Genomic DNA, 18,494 nt, shown 5'->3' on the forward strand with positions numbered 1-18,494 from the left:
GAAGCCAGGGAAATGTAAAGGAGGTGATTTTTTTTTTTTTGAGTAGGAGCAAAAAAGAAAAGGGAGCAAAAAATCACACAGAGGGTGTGTATTTAACTAACTTTGTATTTTGCCACACATTGTTTTCATTTACAGCTATGTCTGACAAATGAGCACGTTTGACATCACTGATAAATGCAACACCGTCTAGGGCCTACGAGAAAACCAGGGGGCTCGGCTCCGCTGGAGCCTCTGCCCGTGGATTTGTTTAGGGAAGGGGAGTCGAATATCTATTTTTCTTCTTAGTAAAATTATCTGCCAGAGAAACAATGAAGCATGAAAAAGTACTATTTAGAATGTGCATGCCTATATATGATTTTAAAATGCTAATTGTTGCATTCCGGGAAACTTTCCATTATATATATGCATATATATGTATCTTTGTAATTTCAGTGAATTTTTAAAACTAGTATGGCAGGTTGAAAGCAATGCACCTGTTTACTTGCACACACCATAAATCGAAAAGCAGGAGTGCGCTTTCCTACCGGTCTCTATGAAACCCCCAGACAAGAGGCATAGTTAACTACTACATTTAATAGCCTTCTTCTCTAACACAGTAATTTTTATTTAAAAAGGAGACTAAACAGAAGTCAGGGGTAGGTGGTTCTCCATGACTGCAAATAATAATAATAATGATGATTTTTTTTAATGTACAGCTCTCACACAAATTTCATTTTGTGAACACACTGGTAAGTACACGATGCTGGGGCTTCCAAAATGTGGCGTATCCCACTGATGGCTCCAACTTGCGAGTGGGCTCAGTTCTGTAATTGGAATGAAAGGAATTTTAACACTATTTAGACAAAGATCAAACGCAGCGTAAAGGGGAAAGCTAGATTTCCTCATATGATTTTTTTTTTTTTAAATTTAGAGACTTATTGTAATGAATGGCACTTACTCAGGATTTAGGAGTTCTTTGTAAGAAAAAAAAAACATGTATTTGTTTGCTACTCCCACTATACTTCAAAGTTTTCAGTAATTGTTATTTCTAAAAATGCCTTTTACTAGGAGTTAACCTTCTCTTACAGCCAGCCACTCAAACCTCATTTTTGCCAGCACCTTTGCATTTGATTTTCTAAAGTTTGGGGGCCCAAACCTGCTTATTATATTCAACTACCTTGTAGATTCCTATCAAAATGCTTAATTCTACACAACTATATTTTCCTTCCAATCCAGGCCTCATTTGTCATGAGATAACTGCAATAACTACATCCAGAATATCACTCTTATTTTGAGAATGTTTGCCTAAAATCTTTCATCAGATGCTTTTTTGTTAAAAGCATTCTCTCCATTTCTGCTTCTTCAGAGTTTGTGTATCTCTTAGTTGTGATGAGGAAAAAAAAAAAAAAAGGAAAGAAATATCTGAAGTCAAGAACACTTGACTTCAAGCTCATGAGGGGAGGTTTACTATTAAGACTTTTGTTAAGCAAAATTAAGTGTGGATTCAGGAGCCTGTCTAAACTAGCACATAAAGGAAGGTCAAAATGTCGAGGTTACACACTGTCTTCGTGTTTTGTAAAAAATAGGCAGGAAGGCCAGATGATAAACTGGCCAGAACTTAGCAGCACCAAACACAACCTGTTTTCTTAAAAATAAGTCTTTCAGTCAGAGTTGCAATATTATCTTTTTTTCTTTTAAGAACGGCAGAAAACAAAACAAAAGTCATCGTGTTTGGCTGTATTTTCAAAACAGTGCTGGCTTTGTCTAACATTCTATTGGTGTGCTAGGGGAAGATGACTAAGAGTGCAAACTGCATGAATTTGTAACATTAGTTTCATGAATTTGTGTCATTTAAAAATAGGTCAGCGCTTAGGAGTCCTACTAGTGAAGGTAGTTTTGAGTCTTTCCAAGGGATCTTTAAGTCAGCCCCCATACACAGCCTATTTTGGGGTAAATACCAGTAAATCAAAGCACAGCCTATATTCCACACAGGTATTATTTTTTGCTTTTATTTCTGGGGATAGCATGATCTGAAATCATTACTAGCTCATCCAGGTAGAGAAGTTCTCCACTGAATATTCACGGTGAAATATGATTTGATAACATAGTTTAAACCAGATATGTACTTGGAAATATGGAAGTAAGGAGTGGATTTTCTTTTTCCTATTTAAGACAAATGATCTTCAGTGTTAAAGAGAAAAGCAAAACAAAACAAACAACTATGATTTGTCATGTTTATGTTAAATCTTGTCAGGCCTTGCTAACAAGAAAATCTCGGTGTGTAAGAGAAGAAGGAAAAATAGTCAACTTTAGTGAAAAGGCAAGCGCTGTTTCTCTTTACCGTTCAATGCATATGTGCGCAAGCCACCTCTGATGCGCCATATTTGTCCGGCTCCTCTGTCTATGGATGGCTTTGCTCCTGATCAGAAGTGTAGGGCCATGCTCAGGAAGCCTAGTTCCACTGTTTTGTTTTGTTTTTCCTACCAAGGGCAATTATGGCTCAACTCATTTGAAAACTGAAAACTTTGGGGAGAAAAAAATGAGGTCATAATTTACATCTATATTAAATATTGCTAATCAGTATATGGGGCCAGCCTCCTCACTTCAAAAAACAGCCTATAATTTCACCCTGAATTACTGTCTCCCTATTCCTCCAGGAATCCTTCCACTGGAGAAAAGGATGCATTTTACACTTTTAACGAGGTTGTTGGGCCCAGTTAAACTGTACACTAAGAAACTGAGTACAGAATCAAAAAAAAATGCCGTTTATTATTGTAGATTATTCTTTTCTTGATATAACCAGAATTGAAAATGAAAGAAAAGCACATAGGAACAACACGCGTGGTTAGTTAGTAACTCAAGATATAAAACAATTTTGCACAGCAAAATATGTAAAAGAAAAGTAACTGACAAGATTTTTTTATATTTATTGTGGTAAGATTTACTTTTCATTTCTTTTTAAAGACAGGATGTCAGTCCCTGAAAATAACATTTACTGATTATTGCCTTTAAAACTGTGGATTTTTTTTTAAGTTACAGAAAATCCAGTTCTGCACCACAATACAACTGTAAAAAAATCTGCATCATCTTAAAACTGTGCAGTAATGCCATTTTTATAACTGCATAAATTTTATTAGCGTTCTAAACAGTTTTGCAATTTTTTTTTGTATTATATGCTTGCAGGTTATATCTTAGTGCAATTCAGTCCCAAATACTTTAATTTTGAAAAGAAAAAAAAACATACATTTTTGAATGTAAAATACCCCTACAGATATAAACAGGGGCGTTTCCCCTCTTAATACTTTGGTTTTCAATACAGTCAGTGGTATAGCAAAGACTACACATACCCAACTTATATTTAAGTTGCAAGCACATGCTGTATAAGCTACTTTTTTTAAACAGTCCCCTTGCAAACTCTACCCCCCTTAACATCACAATAGTAAACAATTTAGTGCATCAATCGTTTAAAAAATCTACAGCTAAACAGACCTAACTCTTTCAAATTTATCTATAACATTCCTTTATCTGTAGCATACATTTTAACTGGGCTAACAGATTATAAAAACTAGAATTAAATTATATACTAGAAACCCAGAGCATTCCACATTTGACAATGACCAAAAGCCAAAAAATATAAAATAAAAATAAAACAAACCAAAAATAATGGGGCAGTTTCTCTTTTTAAAAAATAAATTTTAGACTGCTTCTCGGCAATAGCACAATTTTAGTCCCCAAAGTGGGGCGTCATTCTTATTAAAAAGAAAACATTAAGAGTTCTTCAATGTTTGCCAGGTTAAATGTGTAACCCATTCTGGTATCTTTGACAAGGAATGCCTTCAGTGCATTGGGAGGTTGAAGTTCTGAGTAACTCAAAGCAGTTTTGGAGCAGATGCAAAATTTCATGGGAAGAAGGCTCTACGGTTGCACTGTTTTGTTCTAAACTCAAAAAAGTCATGAGGCAATAAAACAAAAGTATGAATGCCATGCTATAAGTCTTCGAACGTCCATTTCCAAGCCAAAAGGAAAAAAAAAGGAAAAAATAATTATACCATACATGTCCAGCATGCAGGCTTTTTTTTTTTATTAATATAATGTCTCTTTTCCATAAAGTCTTTGAAACAGTTATAGTTCATTGTTGCTAAGACAAAGTAGCAAGCATAATAATGCATGAGATGAGAATGAGTTTTTTTAATGGCAGACTAAACTCTCAGATTTGGCATCACAAGGCCAAAACTCACAAGTCACACCCAGAAGGTTGATGCAGGCTTGATTGTGGAAGGTTCATGAGGATTTTTTTCTCTATTTTAGCATAACAATGCTAAAAAAAAAACCCGATGGAACTCGGCACGCTGCAAGTCTATAACATTTCACATTTTTTTTTCCTTTGCAAGCTCAATCTCACATGAAGAACTCAGGAGAAGAAAAAAAAACTTTGCTTTTTTTTTTCTTTCATCTCGGAAGAGATGGGTTGAGAAGGAGTGAGGGTGGAGGTTGGAAAAAAGGTGGGCAACACAGCAAGCTCTAAAAGTAAAATTAAAAAAAAAAATCCAAACAAAATAAAACACACACACACACAGAAAATGAACACCAGTTCATGAACTGAAGGGGAAGAAGAAGAAAAAATATGTGAATGATGCAGGCTTCAAAGGTGATCAACGTTTCACATGAAGAACTCTGCTGAGATCATTGAACATTGTGCAAGTCCGGGGGTGGGGCGGGGGGGTGTAAAAAAAAAAAAAAAACAAGCTAGCAAGTTATGGAGAATTTCAGATTGGCAATCCATGAGCCAGACACCCATTCCCTCCCCAGTTTAAAACAGCCACCACCACCACAAACTCGAGCAGGGTGTGGGGTGTGTGTGTGTGTGTGTGTGTGTGTGTGGTGTGTGCGTGCGGGTTTGTGTGTGTGTAGGGGGCCAAGGGGGCCAAACTCGGTGGGGGTGGGGGTGGTGAGGTGGTGGCGAGCATGGCTCTAGAACTAGCAAGCCCACACCCGAGCCGGACCCCCGCGGAGCACTTATCAGGGTGGCTAGCTGGAATCGCGTGTCAGACTCACATGAAAAACTCGGGAGAGGACGGGTTGTCGCTGCTCGAGCCGTTTTCTCGGAAGCCGCTGCTCACCAACTTCTCGTATTTCTCCTTGTACGCGTCCCTCTCGCGCACCAGCCTGGAGATCTCCTGCTTGAGGTGGTCGACTTGCTGCAGCAGCTGGTTCTTCTCCGACTCCAGGACGTGTCTCTGCTGCACCCTCTTGAAGCGGCAGGACTGGGCATAGCCGCGGTTTTTCAGGGTCCGCCTCTTCTGCTTCAGCCGGATCACCTCCTCCTTGCTGACCCCGCGCAGCTGCCGGTTCAGCTCGCGCACAGACATGGTCACCAGCTGCTCGTCGGAGAAGCGGTCGTCGAAGTGCAGGCCGCCGGCGGCGTGGTGCGGGTGCAGGGCGCCCCCCGCCCCCGCCGCGCCCCCGCCGCCTCCGCCGCCGCCGCCGCCGCCGCCGCCCCCAGCGCTGGCCGGGCCACCGCCGCCCGCGCCCCCAGCGCCACCGGCCGAGGCGGCCGCGCTGCCCGCGGCGCCGGGCGCGCCGGCCGTCGGGTGGTGGTGGTGGCCGGCGGCGTGGTGGTGGTGGTGGTGGTAGTGCGGGCCCGCGCCGCTCTGCGCGGCGGCCGCGGCGATCACGGCGGACACCACGGCGGCGGCGGGGCCCATCTCCTCGCCGCTGCCGCCCAAGGAGGCGCCGGCACCGGCCCCGGCCGCCGCGGCCAGCTGCTGCGCCCCGCGCGCGTAGCCATCGAAGCCGCCCTGGAGCTGGTGGCTGTTGCTGATGAGCGCCTCGACCGCGTCCTCGGGGCTGAAGCCCAGCGCCTCGGGGTTCAGCTGCTGCGGGTAGCCGGTCATCCAGTAGTAGTCTTCCAGGTGCGCCTTCTGCTCGCTGCCCGAGCCCGGGCTGGGCGCCGAGAAGCTGGGGGAAGGGGGCACCGAGCTGCACGGCGTGCTCATGGGGGTGGAGGACAGCGAGCCCCCGGCGATGAGACGGCCGCACTGGCTGATGATGCGGTCGGTCTCCACCGGTTCCTTTTTCACTTCAAACTTCATCAGATCGAAGTCATTAACATATTCCATGGCCAGGGGACTGGTGGGCAGGTCGGAGTTGCTCATTGCCAGTTCTGATGCCATTCTCCTGCCGCCGCCGCCGCCGCCGCCGCCGCTCCGCCAGATGGGCTGCAGGAGAGGGGCCAGCGGGCTGTGCTGGGTGGCCAGCGGGTGAGCCAGCTTGCCGGGCTGGGGCGCTTCTAGCTTGCGCGGCGGTGGCTGGCCCGAAACCTCCGAGCGCGCTCACACACACACCCCCCCGCCCTGCCCGCGCCCCCCGCGCCCGCCCTCCCTCCCCCCTGCTCACGCCAATGTGCTCCCTCGCTCGCCCCGGCCCCTCCTTGCTCGCTCGCCTCCTTGCGCGCCGAGCCGGCGGCTTCAGGCTCGGGAAGATCCTCCGCGAGCTGCGGTGGCGGCGGTGGTGGCTGCGGCGGCGAAGCTGGAGGAGCCCGGCCCGGTGCGCGGCGTCCCCCGCTCGCCGCTCCGCTGCGCGCTTTGCATAAGGAAGGGCTCGCCTCGCCGGCCCGGGCTGCAGGCAGGGCGCGCGCGGCGTCCGCTCGGGGCTGGAGGCGCGGCGGGCGTCTGTCCGGGCGGCGCGGGCCTTGGCACGGGGGAGTTAACACTTCATGCTTCTCGCCTCCTCTTCTGCTTGGCTCTCTTTATTATTTTTTTTCTTTCCTCTCTCTCCCTCGCGCGCTCTCTACCTCTGTGCAAAGTGCAAGGCAGAGGTGCAGCCCGACTGGAGGAGAGGGAGGGGGGAGTTTAGTTCTTTCTTGCCTTTTTTTAAAAAAGCAAAATAGCGAAGTCCTGGGGAAAGACGAGGCAGAGAGCAAAGGGGGGAGGGGGAGGCCAAGCCGACAAGCAGCCCGAGCTACAGCTAGAAGATGAAAAAAGATTTTAAAGCCTCTGATCCAGCAAGAAGAGTTTAAAGCAATTGCTGAGTTTTATAGCACTCGTGACGTCAGGTCCAAATGAGAAATTGACTGGCACTCCGGGCCAATGGGAGGCGGCGAGAGCGGCCGCGATTAGCATAATAGTATAGAAACAAGGAAACTTTTCGGAGCTGTCAATCAGGGCCCAATCAGCTGACTGTCAGCTGGGACGGGCTGGCTTAACCCTTCCTGCGCCGCTGCCTACCCGGGAGGGAACGAGGCCCGGCGCAAAGTTTGGTGTAAGAGGGGAAGGAGTTTTTCCAGAGGGGCTTCGGCAATCCGGGCGGACCTGGGAGGGCGGTTTGCTTTTCTTTGGAGCGCGAGACAGGCCTCCCATCCGGAGCCCCAGCTCGCTGGGGGCTCACTCGGCTGGGATTGGCCTGATTCCCCTCCCCTGCCTGCCCTCCACCCCCAGGATTGTGAATTCGCCTCCCAGCTTTTCCTCCTCGCACCAACTCTGGTACCCAGGTGTCTGCCGGGGACCTTCCTTCCCTGAGCCTGGCCGTGCCCGGCGCTCAAACTTGGCCCCAACTCTTTGTCCGTCTCTCGGGCGCCCGTGCGGGGAAGGGACCGGGAAGGGAGGGATGCAGTGGGGTGTCCGGATCGGGGCTGCGGGCTGGGCGCCGCCCGGCCATGCGCCTGCCCAGAAGGCTGGGCATCCGTGGAGAGGGAAAGCCCATTTTATCCCTCTCTTTACAACGAGGTAAAATAAGTTGTTTAGAGGCCATTCTTCACGGAGACCGGCTGCCCGCTGGCGTCGCGTGCCCTTGGACAGAGCGAGCGCCTATGCGAGATAACTCCGGGGAAGCTCAAAGTCAGGTCAGCCGGGCTCAGCCTTCCGGCTCCTGACTGGCCGGAGTTTGGCCTTTGAGACTCATATTGCGCGCTCGCTCTCTCTCTCTCTTACACACACACACACAAACACACACACACTCACACTCACCCGTCCCCTTACGAAATCTGACCTCTGTTTATCAGGGTCAGGCGCGCCCTTTGCACTTTTACGTTTCCTTTAATTATTTCGGACTTGATCGTGGCAGGGAGCAAGGGGGAAAAACAATACCCCAGCCCTCACCAGCTACCCTCGAAGGGTTAAATTTTAAACCGCGGTTTCTGGAACTAGTCCGGAAACGCAGAGTGGGGGGTGGGGTGGGGGAGGCTGCTCCCCCCACCCCCAGTTGCAAATGCTAATAAGTAGTTCAAATTTCTAGATTGATTCTCTAAAAGTTTATGCAAAAAAGAAATAAAAAAGAAAAAGAAAAAAGAAGGAAACCAACAACTAACTCTGTTTCTAAGATTTTAAAGCGATAGGCAAGTCGAAGAAGCAGAGATTTATTTGGAGAGAAAGCTCCTGAAACCGACCCAGCCTTTGGAAGACCAGCCCGTCTGCTTAGAAGTTGGGACTGTTGATTCCTTCAATTAATGAAATGCATTTGGTGTTTTTAATCGTATTTATTTTACTTTATGAGAAGGGGGAGACGCTAGGAGGGTGCATTAAAAAAAAAAAAAAATTCTGAAAAGCCTGCAAAAGGATCGAAGAGTGGAAACTATTGTTGGAGCGAGTTGGTTTTTACCTCAACAGCGCCACCTTTCGGCAAAGGTCAGTTGAAATTGATCCGTGTCCAGTTTTGTCGATGAAGTGAAAAGCAGCTGGTTACCCAGTGTGGGAGGAGGAAAGAGACACACAAAGTTAGTTTGACTGAAGTGGGAGAACCCGACCCTATAGGAAAGGGGCCGAAGAAAGTGCTGGCAGATGCAGAGATCATTTTTGCCCCTCCTCTTCTCCTTGATTGTTGACAAAGAGGCCAGGGGATACAGACACCCTCGGGGTGTAATTTCTGGCTGAGACCTTTGCAAGAGGATCCCCATGTAACAGGGCCCCAAACCCTTTAAAAGTGCCAGGATGGATTTTCAACGGGCTTTATGGCAATATCAATAGGATTAAAGTTACTTGTAATTCAGTGATAAATGAGATGTCTCTAGTAAGTAAGATTAAGTGCAGTGCTATAAAGTTGTTTATCTGGAAAGTAATTCTCAGAAAACCTGACTTCTGACACTTAGTCATATATTAAGCCAGCGTCTTGAACATTGCACTTCAGAATGGTCTTCCCCACCCCGCAGCATGCTTTGCTATTTATAACCTCAGGTGTCTCTCACTCGTTCCTTGCACCATATTAGACCTGTGTTAATTTCTCTGATCCTAGTAGACTTCAGTTTCAGCAAACCCAGGAATCCTTAATGGAAGACTTCCCAAAAGATTCGTAGGCACACCCTAATCTGAAAAGGGCAGCGCTGTCGGTATTTTTCAGACAAGTAGTGTTTCTTTTCATCGTGACTGCAGAGAAGTTGTTAATAAGGGTAGTTTTGGTCTTATAAGAGCATTTTGTTGGGTGGAATAAACTATGTCTATTACCAGTTTGGGGAAGAAAGAGTGAAGATTATGTCAATATTTATGCAACCTAGCAGAATTCCCTTGCTTTCCTTCTCTTTAACAATATTTTCCCTAGTAATGAAGTTAAGGGATTATAGTTTATTTAGAGGAAAATCCACACTTTCCATTACATAAGCATTATGTCATTTAACATTGCCCGTAACAATAGTTTTCTAGGTCTTTTTAAAAGTCAGTAGTCACAAATGTAGGAAGTTTATATTTTTCATGTAAAATATGAATTTAAGTGTATTTAGAAAGAATTTATTGTTTGTTTATGATATACTTTTAATCCTTTTGCATCATATTTGTGTTAAAAGCTGTAAGGTATGATCATTGCCTCTGAAAGCAGTATTATAATAAATAATAAATAATATTTTATACACAAAGTTTGCTAATGATGAAGACTGTGCCATACACATTCATGGCTGAGTATCTAATTGTTACATTGTTATATATCATTTCTAGAAATTAAATGCCCATGTTTGGGCAGCTAAATATATTATTATCTGCACATTTTTATGGTTTATTTATGTACACTGCTGTGAAGACATGGTATTTTTATTTCTCTTATTGCAAGGTCTTTTATAGTCGCCCATTTTCTCTTGGAAAAAAAAAAGAGAGGATCAGAATTATTTTTTTAGATGTGTAGCAGTAATGCTCTCAGGCTTATAACTTAATTCTCATTTTTATCCTTTTTACATTATTATTTAGTGATTCACAGGGGTGTCTAAACATTTACAGTTCTCTGTTAGCAGCATTTCTTTTATAACAATTGAGCTCTCTCATTTTAATGAGTACTATTCAGGTTTTTGATTCTGTACAATTACAGTGGGCCACATGTCTTTAGACTTCTTTGCTAACATTGTTTGTTTCACTTCTATCCAAGCCAATCTAATCCAAATACAATGTGAACTGTGTTTTCTTACTGCTTAACATCCCCTTGCTATATATACTCTAGTAATCTCTGTAGAACAATATACAGTAATTTAGAAACCATGCATTTGTCATTATTGACCAATTCGGACCAGTAGTATTAAAGTTTTTGAAAGCAATGAATATTTATAGGAGATTTGTGAGGGGGAGGAGGACATGGGTTACATCGCATAGAATATTGTGACACAGTAACATCAGAAACACAATTATAGTTTCACGTCAGTACATACATAATGACTTCATGCAAAAATGAAAAACAAAACCCCTGTTCATGTCCAAATTACAAAGATTAAAAGCTTAAAGGAATATATTTTCCCCGATTGTGAGTTATAGCAACTCAAATATATCATGTTGGAATCAGACATCCATAATCTGAATAGAATGGGATGCATCAGGTATGGTGTCTGGACTCTTTGTTTAGGGGCTGATTTTATGGGGCAGAACTAACCAGTGTCCACTAAATTTCACTATGAAACCAACTAAATTGATTTGAGAAAGAGTTCTTCAGAGTAACTGAACGATAAGGCGTACACTGTTCTTAGGTCCAGTGTTAGATAAATCCTTTTAACAGTCTTCAGTTAGCAGGGTAAGTAAATCACAAATCACTGTTAGCAGATTCATGGAAGAAAATTAATAGAATCAGACGAGATAATCTGATAAGGGCAAAATTGCTGAGGAAACAGTCTTGCCTCATGTTGGAGGATGTGAAACAACAGTCTGATTACTAGGAGTCGTTATGAATAGGTGAATTATGTGCTAAATAATCATCAGAGTAATTCAGCATTTATTAATTCTTTTCTCTTTAAGCAATTCACAGTTGTAAGTTAAAGCCGCTCTCTCTTTCAAGGCACATCTTTTATAATTTTTATTAGAGGTAATTTATTATTTGCATTACCTGTATTTACTTCATAATTGAACATTTTACATTCAAATTTATGTAATGCATTATGCTTGAGAATATATTTCTGCCTGATTAGCATAAATAGTCACTTACCTCATGAATTACTAACAAAGTTTATCTTAAAATATAGGTTTTTTTATTAAGTGGAACACAAACATATGTACAATAAATTCTGATTCTCCAGTGCAGTTAGAGAACAACTCACATTTGGTTACCGGGAGGCGAGGGAGGAAGCAAAATATAGACAAATGAGATGTGTAGGTTTCTTTCCAAGGGTATCATTTAGATGGGGGCGTGTGTGTAGGGTGGGGTAGGGGGCAAAGTGAAGAAGGCCCTAGGCTTTCCGTACACTGTTTGGATTGGATGATCTTGACGTGAAATGTGAATTCTGGAAAAACCTGTAATTAGTGATCTCTGCCTTTGTAGAGAACCATGATAACAAGTAAATTAGCACTGGAAGAATTTGGGGGTTTATCATATTTTTGTTTCAATTATTTGCTTATTTGTTTTTGTCTCTGCAGGTTTCTTCCTTGGAAAACAATATACATCACTTAATGAAATCTTTGTTTGTTTTGCACAAGAGATGTAAAAAATCCAGATGTTTTCTTCAGTGAGAATTCCTGGGAAGGTGTACCAGCCTTCTTCTCTTTCTTCACCTGACAAAGACACCCAACACGGCCTCTCAGACCGGAGGTGTTTAATATATAGTTTTGACACGCATGAACATGGGAATGAAAGGGCTCCTTTTGGTTTTAGACAATAGACAGAGCTATAAAATGATGATGGAGCCTGTTTTCCCCACTCTTGTCATTTTAAGTCAATAGATTTCCTGGGTTTCTTCCCCCGCCCCCCCACTTTGCCTTTTCAGGGGATAGGCATCTCCTTAGATTTTTGTTTTTCTTCACTTAGGGTCAGCTTTATGATTCGTTCTTCTGCTGTCATCCTTTTTCATCCTATTCACAGCCTGTACCGGTGAGGGAATTTGTCTCAAAAGCATTCAGCCCTTCAAAGATTTTTATTGTGGTGAACTCAGAACTGATAAACAGAAAAACAGAAACAGAAAAAGGGAACTGATATGGGGGCGATCTTGATGCGGGTTGTGTCTCTCATGCATGATAACTCAGAGGACAGGCTCCTCGGTAGTGCGGTAGTGCTAACTCTGTGAAGTTTCTTCACCCTCCTTCCTAGCCCTGGAGGCGGGGTGATTCATAGCTCCTGTTCCAAAGGCATTCAGCAGCCATTCGACCTGGGAAAGAAACAGAGTTTTAGAAAATACAGGCCAAATGTAGAGACGCCTGTGATTACCAGGATGAGTATGTCAGTGCAGGTGGCTTCTGAATTTCTGTTTCTGAGTTTGTTTGGCTGATGCCTAAGGAAAGGGGTCCCTTACAGCCCTGTTTTATACCTTAGTTCTTGGTGGCAACGTGGGTGTTGCTGATCTCTCTGATGTGTTTTTCTGTGCACTGAAAACACCAGACATGCTCCGTGACATCCTCGGAGCATCTCCCATCATAATGGAGTGTTCCTAACCTGACAAAGAATAGCATATTACCTCCCCATCTACTCAAAATAAAATTATAGTAAAATTTATCGCCCTTCTGCTAATATTTTTTATTTAGTAACTTTATAACAGTGATACATACTCCTTATTAAATATAAACATTTGAACAGGACAGAAATAGAAGGATATTCAATAAAAGAACTGCTACTCCTCATCTCCACCCCAGTCCTTAAACCCTGGTCTCGGGGGTTACCATCTGTAATAGTTGGGGTATATGTGGGTACTTTTTACAGAATGGCATCGAAGCATGTACATAGTTCTTTAACTTGTGCTCCCTTTAAAACACATTCATGTTAACAATCTCAGAAAGAGATGTTGGGCACTTCTGTCTTCTTTGGCAGAACTCGCCTAATGGAACCTCAGACCGGGGGAAGTTTGGAGATCTGATCTTAACCTCGTCCTTCCAACCGGTATAGGAGCTTGAATCTGCTTTAGGTGAGCTGGCAGCATTCAGGAACAACTTCTGCACTGGGCCCAACAGACACCTCTCTTGGGGCCCACAAGACTGCTAAGGGTCCACAAAAACATTTTAAAAAACTTTAAAAATAGAAGTACAAGAGGAATGTAGTAGAGCATGGATTATGTCTGTCATCATACCAACACAGTTGTAAAATACAATTTAAAATATTTTTTAGTAGAACAAAGGGTCCACAGAAGCCAAAGTGCCCAGAGCCCACAAAACTCCACACATGACTCCAACTCGGTGTACCTGATCACCTCCAATGACGGGATGATCTCAATTTTACCTCCTATTATGACCATCTATATTCCCACAGTTCTTGCGGTTGTCCAGAAAGCTCTTGTTTAACACGAAGTCATACTCCCTTCTTCTAGACCTTAGCCCTGATTTTATATACTCATGAAGCCATGTGTAATAAGTGCTTCTGTGCCGCAGAGTCTTTGGGAAGTTGGAGAGAGCCAACATGACCCCCTTTCCCTGCTTTTCATTTTTCATTCAAAATATAGCCAGCGTCTTTAACTTTTCCACACATGTTTTGGTTTTAAGTGCCAACTCCTTCTGGTTACTAACTCCCAGGTGGGTGCACCTGGTTCCTGCTGCCCTCTGAGGGTTCAAGTCTCAGAACTGAATGCAGATACCCAGGTGTGAGCCTCACATCCTAAGGAGAGCACCTACATTCCACCTCCTTAAGCTGCAGTTTGTCTGCTCCTAATACAGCCCACAATTTCACCAGCCTCTCTGGCAGACACTTAACACTGGTGACTCATCATTCATGGACAGTGGACTCAAGCCCAGGCTTTTTCTTCTCACATTTCCCCCATCCTAGATTTGTGTGCTTGTTTTTGAACCCAAGCACAGAAATTCATAGCAATCCTCCATAAGCTCCATGTCCCTAGATTCAGTCCGTTCTGGGACTAAATCTAACGTTTAGTCTAAATCGGTTTGGATCTAGAATGTGCCATCAGCTAGTTTTAATTTATTTTTCAGCTCAGTACCAGTGGCAAATGAAATGGATGTGCTTTTTATATGACCTAGCCTCACGGAGCCTGGTCTGTCACCTGCAAATTTGGCATTGTCAGGATTAGAGATTGTGCTTCTGGAGTGTCTCCTATGGTGTGGGCCACAGAGGAGCTCATAAATGATTGGAGCTTTTCTGAATTTCCTGCTCTTTCCCTGAGTTGCTGATAACAGCATTGGAAGGGACAAAGCCCTGTGGCATCTCAGTGGAGACTGTCCCTCCGAACTCCACAGTGACACACCAAATCATTCAAGTCCCCTAATGGACATTTTAAATGGACTCTGCCTAATTGGTAATTGGAGTTATTTTAAACTAAACGACCCCATCTGGAAGTCCTACATACACCTTTCTAATCAATTCTAAAATAATCGCACTTATTTTTTTTTTTTTTCTGAGACAGAGTCTCGCTCTGTTTCCCAGGCTGGAGTGCAGTGGTGTGATCTCGGCTCACTGCCACCTCCGCCTGCCGGGTTCAAGTGATTCTGTTGCCTCAGCCTCCCGAGTAGCTGGGACTACAGGCACCCACCACCATGCCTGACTGTTTTTTTGTTTGTTTGTTTTATATTTTTAGTAGAGATGGGATTTCACCATATTGGTCAGGCTGGAATAACTTCACTTTTTTTTGGTGTAGGCAAAGCTCTCTGTTGGAGAAGACAGATTACTAGATAATTGTGTCACATTTCACACCTGCCCTTGTCTTTGTAAACCTTTGCCCTGTCAAAATACATAGTTGTTGTCCAAAGTTGGGATCTCAGAGACTAATAAAAAATAAATGTAACCTAGAAAAGCTAAGCAGAAGAGCTGTGTGTGTGTATACATAAAAACATAGTTGAGATCAGCTCTTTCCTCCCTGTTTTATCTCTGGTTTAGATCACCAACTTCCCTGCCATTTCCTGACGCCAATTTTGAAGCCAGGGGGCTCAGAGGCATTTTCTTCAACAGAAGAGTTCAGAGTTTCAGTGTCCACCTTTGAGCTGCAACTAGTCCCTCAGTGGTGTAAATATGCATGCTGCTGCAGAATCTCCTGTTCCAGGATCCCACCTCGACCCCTTTCAGAGAAATCTGGGAATGAGAGAAGGAACCGGCCCAGGAGTGATTTATGACCTGCTGTCTGTGTCCTGCCTGAGGAAGCATGGCTCTGGCTGTTTGAAGCAGACCCAGACTGGGATCCTCAGAGATTGGAAGGAGTGATGGGGACCCTTCAGGAAAATGTCACCGACCGTTGACTCTCAGCTCAGCTCGAAGCTGCTGATGAGGGGGTAGGCTTGGTTGCTGTCACAGTGATGTGAGCTCAGGCAGTTGGGGTTGGGGAAGAGGGACCAGCCAGGAGACAAAGCATCTGAGTTCAGCACCCGGGTCCTCCTCTGATTCACCCTCTGACCTCAGCAAAGCCCTTCACTCTCTTCCTTCAACTCATTTTTCAGGCTGCAAATGGACTGAGCTGCGTGAAGCGGTAAAAAACAAACCTGCTTGCATGGAAGGAATGTTCCTAGCCATTTGAGGCTGAATATAGGGTGGGTATAAATAGGGACCAGACTCCCATAGACAGAAGGAAGCTGGCATGCCCGGGCTGCCATGGAGCATTGATGGGTCATGGTGGCAACGTTGGAATATCAGAGACGCTGGAATATCACACTGGAATATTTCGAGGTCAAAACAACAGACACATCAAGGCAGGGTCAGAATGGCACAGTCAACCCCTCCTGCATCTCCAAGCCAGAGGATGCTGTTGTTTTAGGCTGACATTGTTCAGAGCCTTTGGTGGCAGCACAGTGAGGAGGATCACTGGGCAGGGAGACATACCCTGGAGGTGCCTGATGCCAAAATGAGGATGTAAATCCTGCTCTGCCCCAGGTGTAAGACCTTGGGCAAATTAGCTGACCTCTCTGAACCCGTCTTTTTCTTAGTGAGAGGTAGACAGGAATCTTGTGATCATGATGAGCATGTATACCAAGTGTTTGGCATGGTGCCTGCCCCGAGCGAACGCTCAAAAGAGCAGGCTCTGTTAACATGTGCCAGGGACTCTGCCCACACTCTATACACGTCATTTTACAGTATGGGGCCCAGGGCATAGAAGGAACTTGAGAAATAACAATAGTTTCCCCTCTTCTCTCTGCTCTGCTCCTGCCTTAAAGTTGTATTTACCTCGTAACCTGTCCTCTTTCTCTCCTTCTCTCCTAAGTCTTTGCACGATTTTGCTCCCTCTTCCCACTTTCCCTGCCCTCTGCTTTATTTCCTGGCTAATTTTGACTCTTCTTCAGGTCTTGCATTTCCTCTTAAAAGCCTTACTTGTGTTCTCTTTGCCCACTGGCCCCCAAGGCAGGCCAGGTGCCCACTCTGTCTGCTGGTTTGTGTTTGAGTCCTCACAGTGCCCCAGGAGTTCCTACCCACCTGTGAACTGCTTAAAGCCAGGGACACCGCCTCTCATCTCTCCATCTCCTTCACCTGCTACAGAGCTCAGCATACAGTAAGCGCTCCATAAATGTTTCTTCAGTGAACATGATCACACTGTCTGATTCCTGGCTTCTTTTTTTGAGGCTTGAACCTACACAGAATGTCCTGTCAAATGTCCCAGAAAACATGACTTTGAAAGGGACAGGGTGGCTGGCTCCTGTGTTGCAACACAGCACTTCTTACCTTCGCCTCTCACTAGTCTGATTGGCCCATCTTTCAATTACCAGGATGCTTATCTTGCTCACTCATTAGCCTATATCCCTTAGCTGGCATTGAGTGGACAACATGGTTGAGATATGCGAGCTCTGGAACTGAAGTGGGCTGCAGTCAAATCTTGCTGGGATTGGTTTTTGGAGGAAGGGAGGCTTGGGATTAAGTGGCTGAGTGTAAGTGGGGCATCCTATTCCAGCACTGCCTGCTGCTGCTAGAGAGAGCCCTGGTGCAGCTTTGAGTCACAGCTGCTTTTCCCAGGACTTCAAGGCACACAGACACTATTTTGTAAGCTTCAGATAAGAATGCAAGGCCCGCCCTCATTTCCACATACCCAAATCATGCCCATTCTTCCAGGCACAGCTCATATGAGATGTGACGTTGCACCTGAAGCTCAGAGCAGAGTGTCGGGCATCCATTAGTAAAAGTTTGATGCTAATACTAAGCCCCCAGCTCCAGAAGCCCTCCTGCGCTCCTACCTTTCATTCCTGTATCCTCACAGTTGTAGTTCGACCTCTCTTTGGGAGCCTCACAATGTATCCAACAGGTAGAGTATCACCTTGCTGATTGTGTGATCTTAGAAGAGTTCTCGACGTGCTTTTTGAGTCTCATTATCTTCATCTGTATAATGGAATGTCAATTCAGCCTCTTTGGGTTGCAAGTGAACAAAATTTGACCTGAATTTGTTTAAGCAAAAAGGATTCTCATTGGCTTGCATGGCCCAAAATCTAGGGACAGGACTAGTTGGGATCAGGGGTCATATAGTGTCATTGGAACTGGCTTCCTTCCATCTGTGTGGACTCCAGACCAGGGCTCTGCATAAGAGTGTGATAATTGTAGTAGTTCCAGCCTTTAATCCTCCTATGCTGAGTTCATGGGAGTCAGTTGGAGGCCCCAGTAGGGCGCTCAAAGTCGCGGTTTGGGTTGCATGGGTCTAGTTCATTTGACTGCTTATAGGCTCATCCCCGAGCCCACCCCTGTGGCAAAGAGATGAAATATCTAATTGGCTGAGACTTGGACTCAGATATGGTATGGGACAGGGGCCTGGAGAATTCTCTGAGCCTGTCTGAGTGTGATGGAAATGCCATCACCCAGGGCGACACTGAGGAACCCAGCATTAAATGGCAGCATTACTAACAGCCAACTCAGACATGATATTCACCTGGGCCTTGCCCTTAGTTTTAACTTATCAGATTGTCACAGCAACCCTATCAGATATGTGCTGCTGTTATTTACATTTGATGGAGGATGTTACTAAGGTACCCCCTTAGTTTCCCCTTAGGCACTGCCTTAGAGGGCTTTTCCAGGGCCACATAGCAGGTGTAGTACAAGATGTAAATCCAGGCATGGCTGCAAAGTTTGCACACACAACTCCTTTCCTTTATTATGTATTGTAGGAGGGAGCCAGTCAAGAAATGAAAGGTAACAAAACAGATAAGTAACATATAATATATTACGATGTAATGTAATATGATATAGTATAGTATCATATAATATAGTATATTACTATATAATATAGTAACATA

The 18,494-nt window shown here is 44.6% G+C and overlaps 1 protein-coding gene and 1 long non-coding RNA gene across 11 annotated transcripts in view, besides 3 other annotated features; one reads left to right on the top strand and one right to left on the bottom strand.

Moving 5' to 3' along the window:
• MAF (MAF bZIP transcription factor) overlaps positions 1 to 6,987 on the bottom strand; it is a 398,116-nt gene extending 391,129 nt beyond the window's left edge. For 8 of the 10 annotated variants that reach the window (XR_002957804.2, XR_001751902.3, XR_002957803.2 and 5 more), the window contains exon 1: positions 5,035 to 6,987. Coding sequence is in view for 6 of the 10 variants with exons in the window: in XM_024450279.2 (XP_024306047.1) it covers positions 5,035 to 6,152 (1,118 nt within the window). In the remaining 4 variants the exon portion in view is untranslated. Of the gene's footprint in view, positions 1 to 87 lie in introns of those variants that run through there. The other 2 variants (NM_005360.5, NM_001031804.3) reach the window with 2 other exon arrangements.
• Positions 6,902 to 7,196: an enhancer, noted in NCBI's record as "tiled region #6091; HepG2 Activating non-DNase unmatched - State 4:PromP, and K562 Activating DNase unmatched - State 4:PromP". NCBI's record gives its function as "activates a minimal TATA promoter and a strong SV40 promoter by Sharpr-MPRA in HepG2 and K562 cells {active_cell/tissue: HepG2 | K562}" and the evidence as "EXISTENCE:reporter gene assay evidence [ECO:0000049][PMID:27701403]".
• Positions 7,137 to 12,855, top strand: LOC101928230 (uncharacterized). Its single transcript, NR_188556.1, has 3 exons — positions 7,137 to 7,239; positions 8,297 to 8,600; positions 11,787 to 12,855. It is a non-coding gene; the product is annotated as an uncharacterized LOC101928230 (long non-coding RNA).
• Positions 12,352 to 12,441: an enhancer, noted in NCBI's record as "active region_11158". NCBI's record gives its function as "activates an Ori minimal core promoter by ATAC-STARR-seq in GM12878 lymphoblastoid cells {active_cell/tissue: GM12878}" and the evidence as "EXISTENCE:reporter gene assay evidence [ECO:0000049][PMID:35858748]".
• Positions 12,452 to 12,621: an enhancer, noted in NCBI's record as "active region_11159". NCBI's record gives its function as "activates an Ori minimal core promoter by ATAC-STARR-seq in GM12878 lymphoblastoid cells {active_cell/tissue: GM12878}" and the evidence as "EXISTENCE:reporter gene assay evidence [ECO:0000049][PMID:35858748]".
• Positions 12,856 to 18,494: the final 5,639 nt, after the last annotated feature.

Source organism: Homo sapiens, chromosome 16 (assembly GCF_000001405.40).
Source record: "Homo sapiens chromosome 16, GRCh38.p14 Primary Assembly".
Classification (NCBI taxonomy): domain Eukaryota; kingdom Metazoa; phylum Chordata; class Mammalia; order Primates; family Hominidae; genus Homo; species Homo sapiens.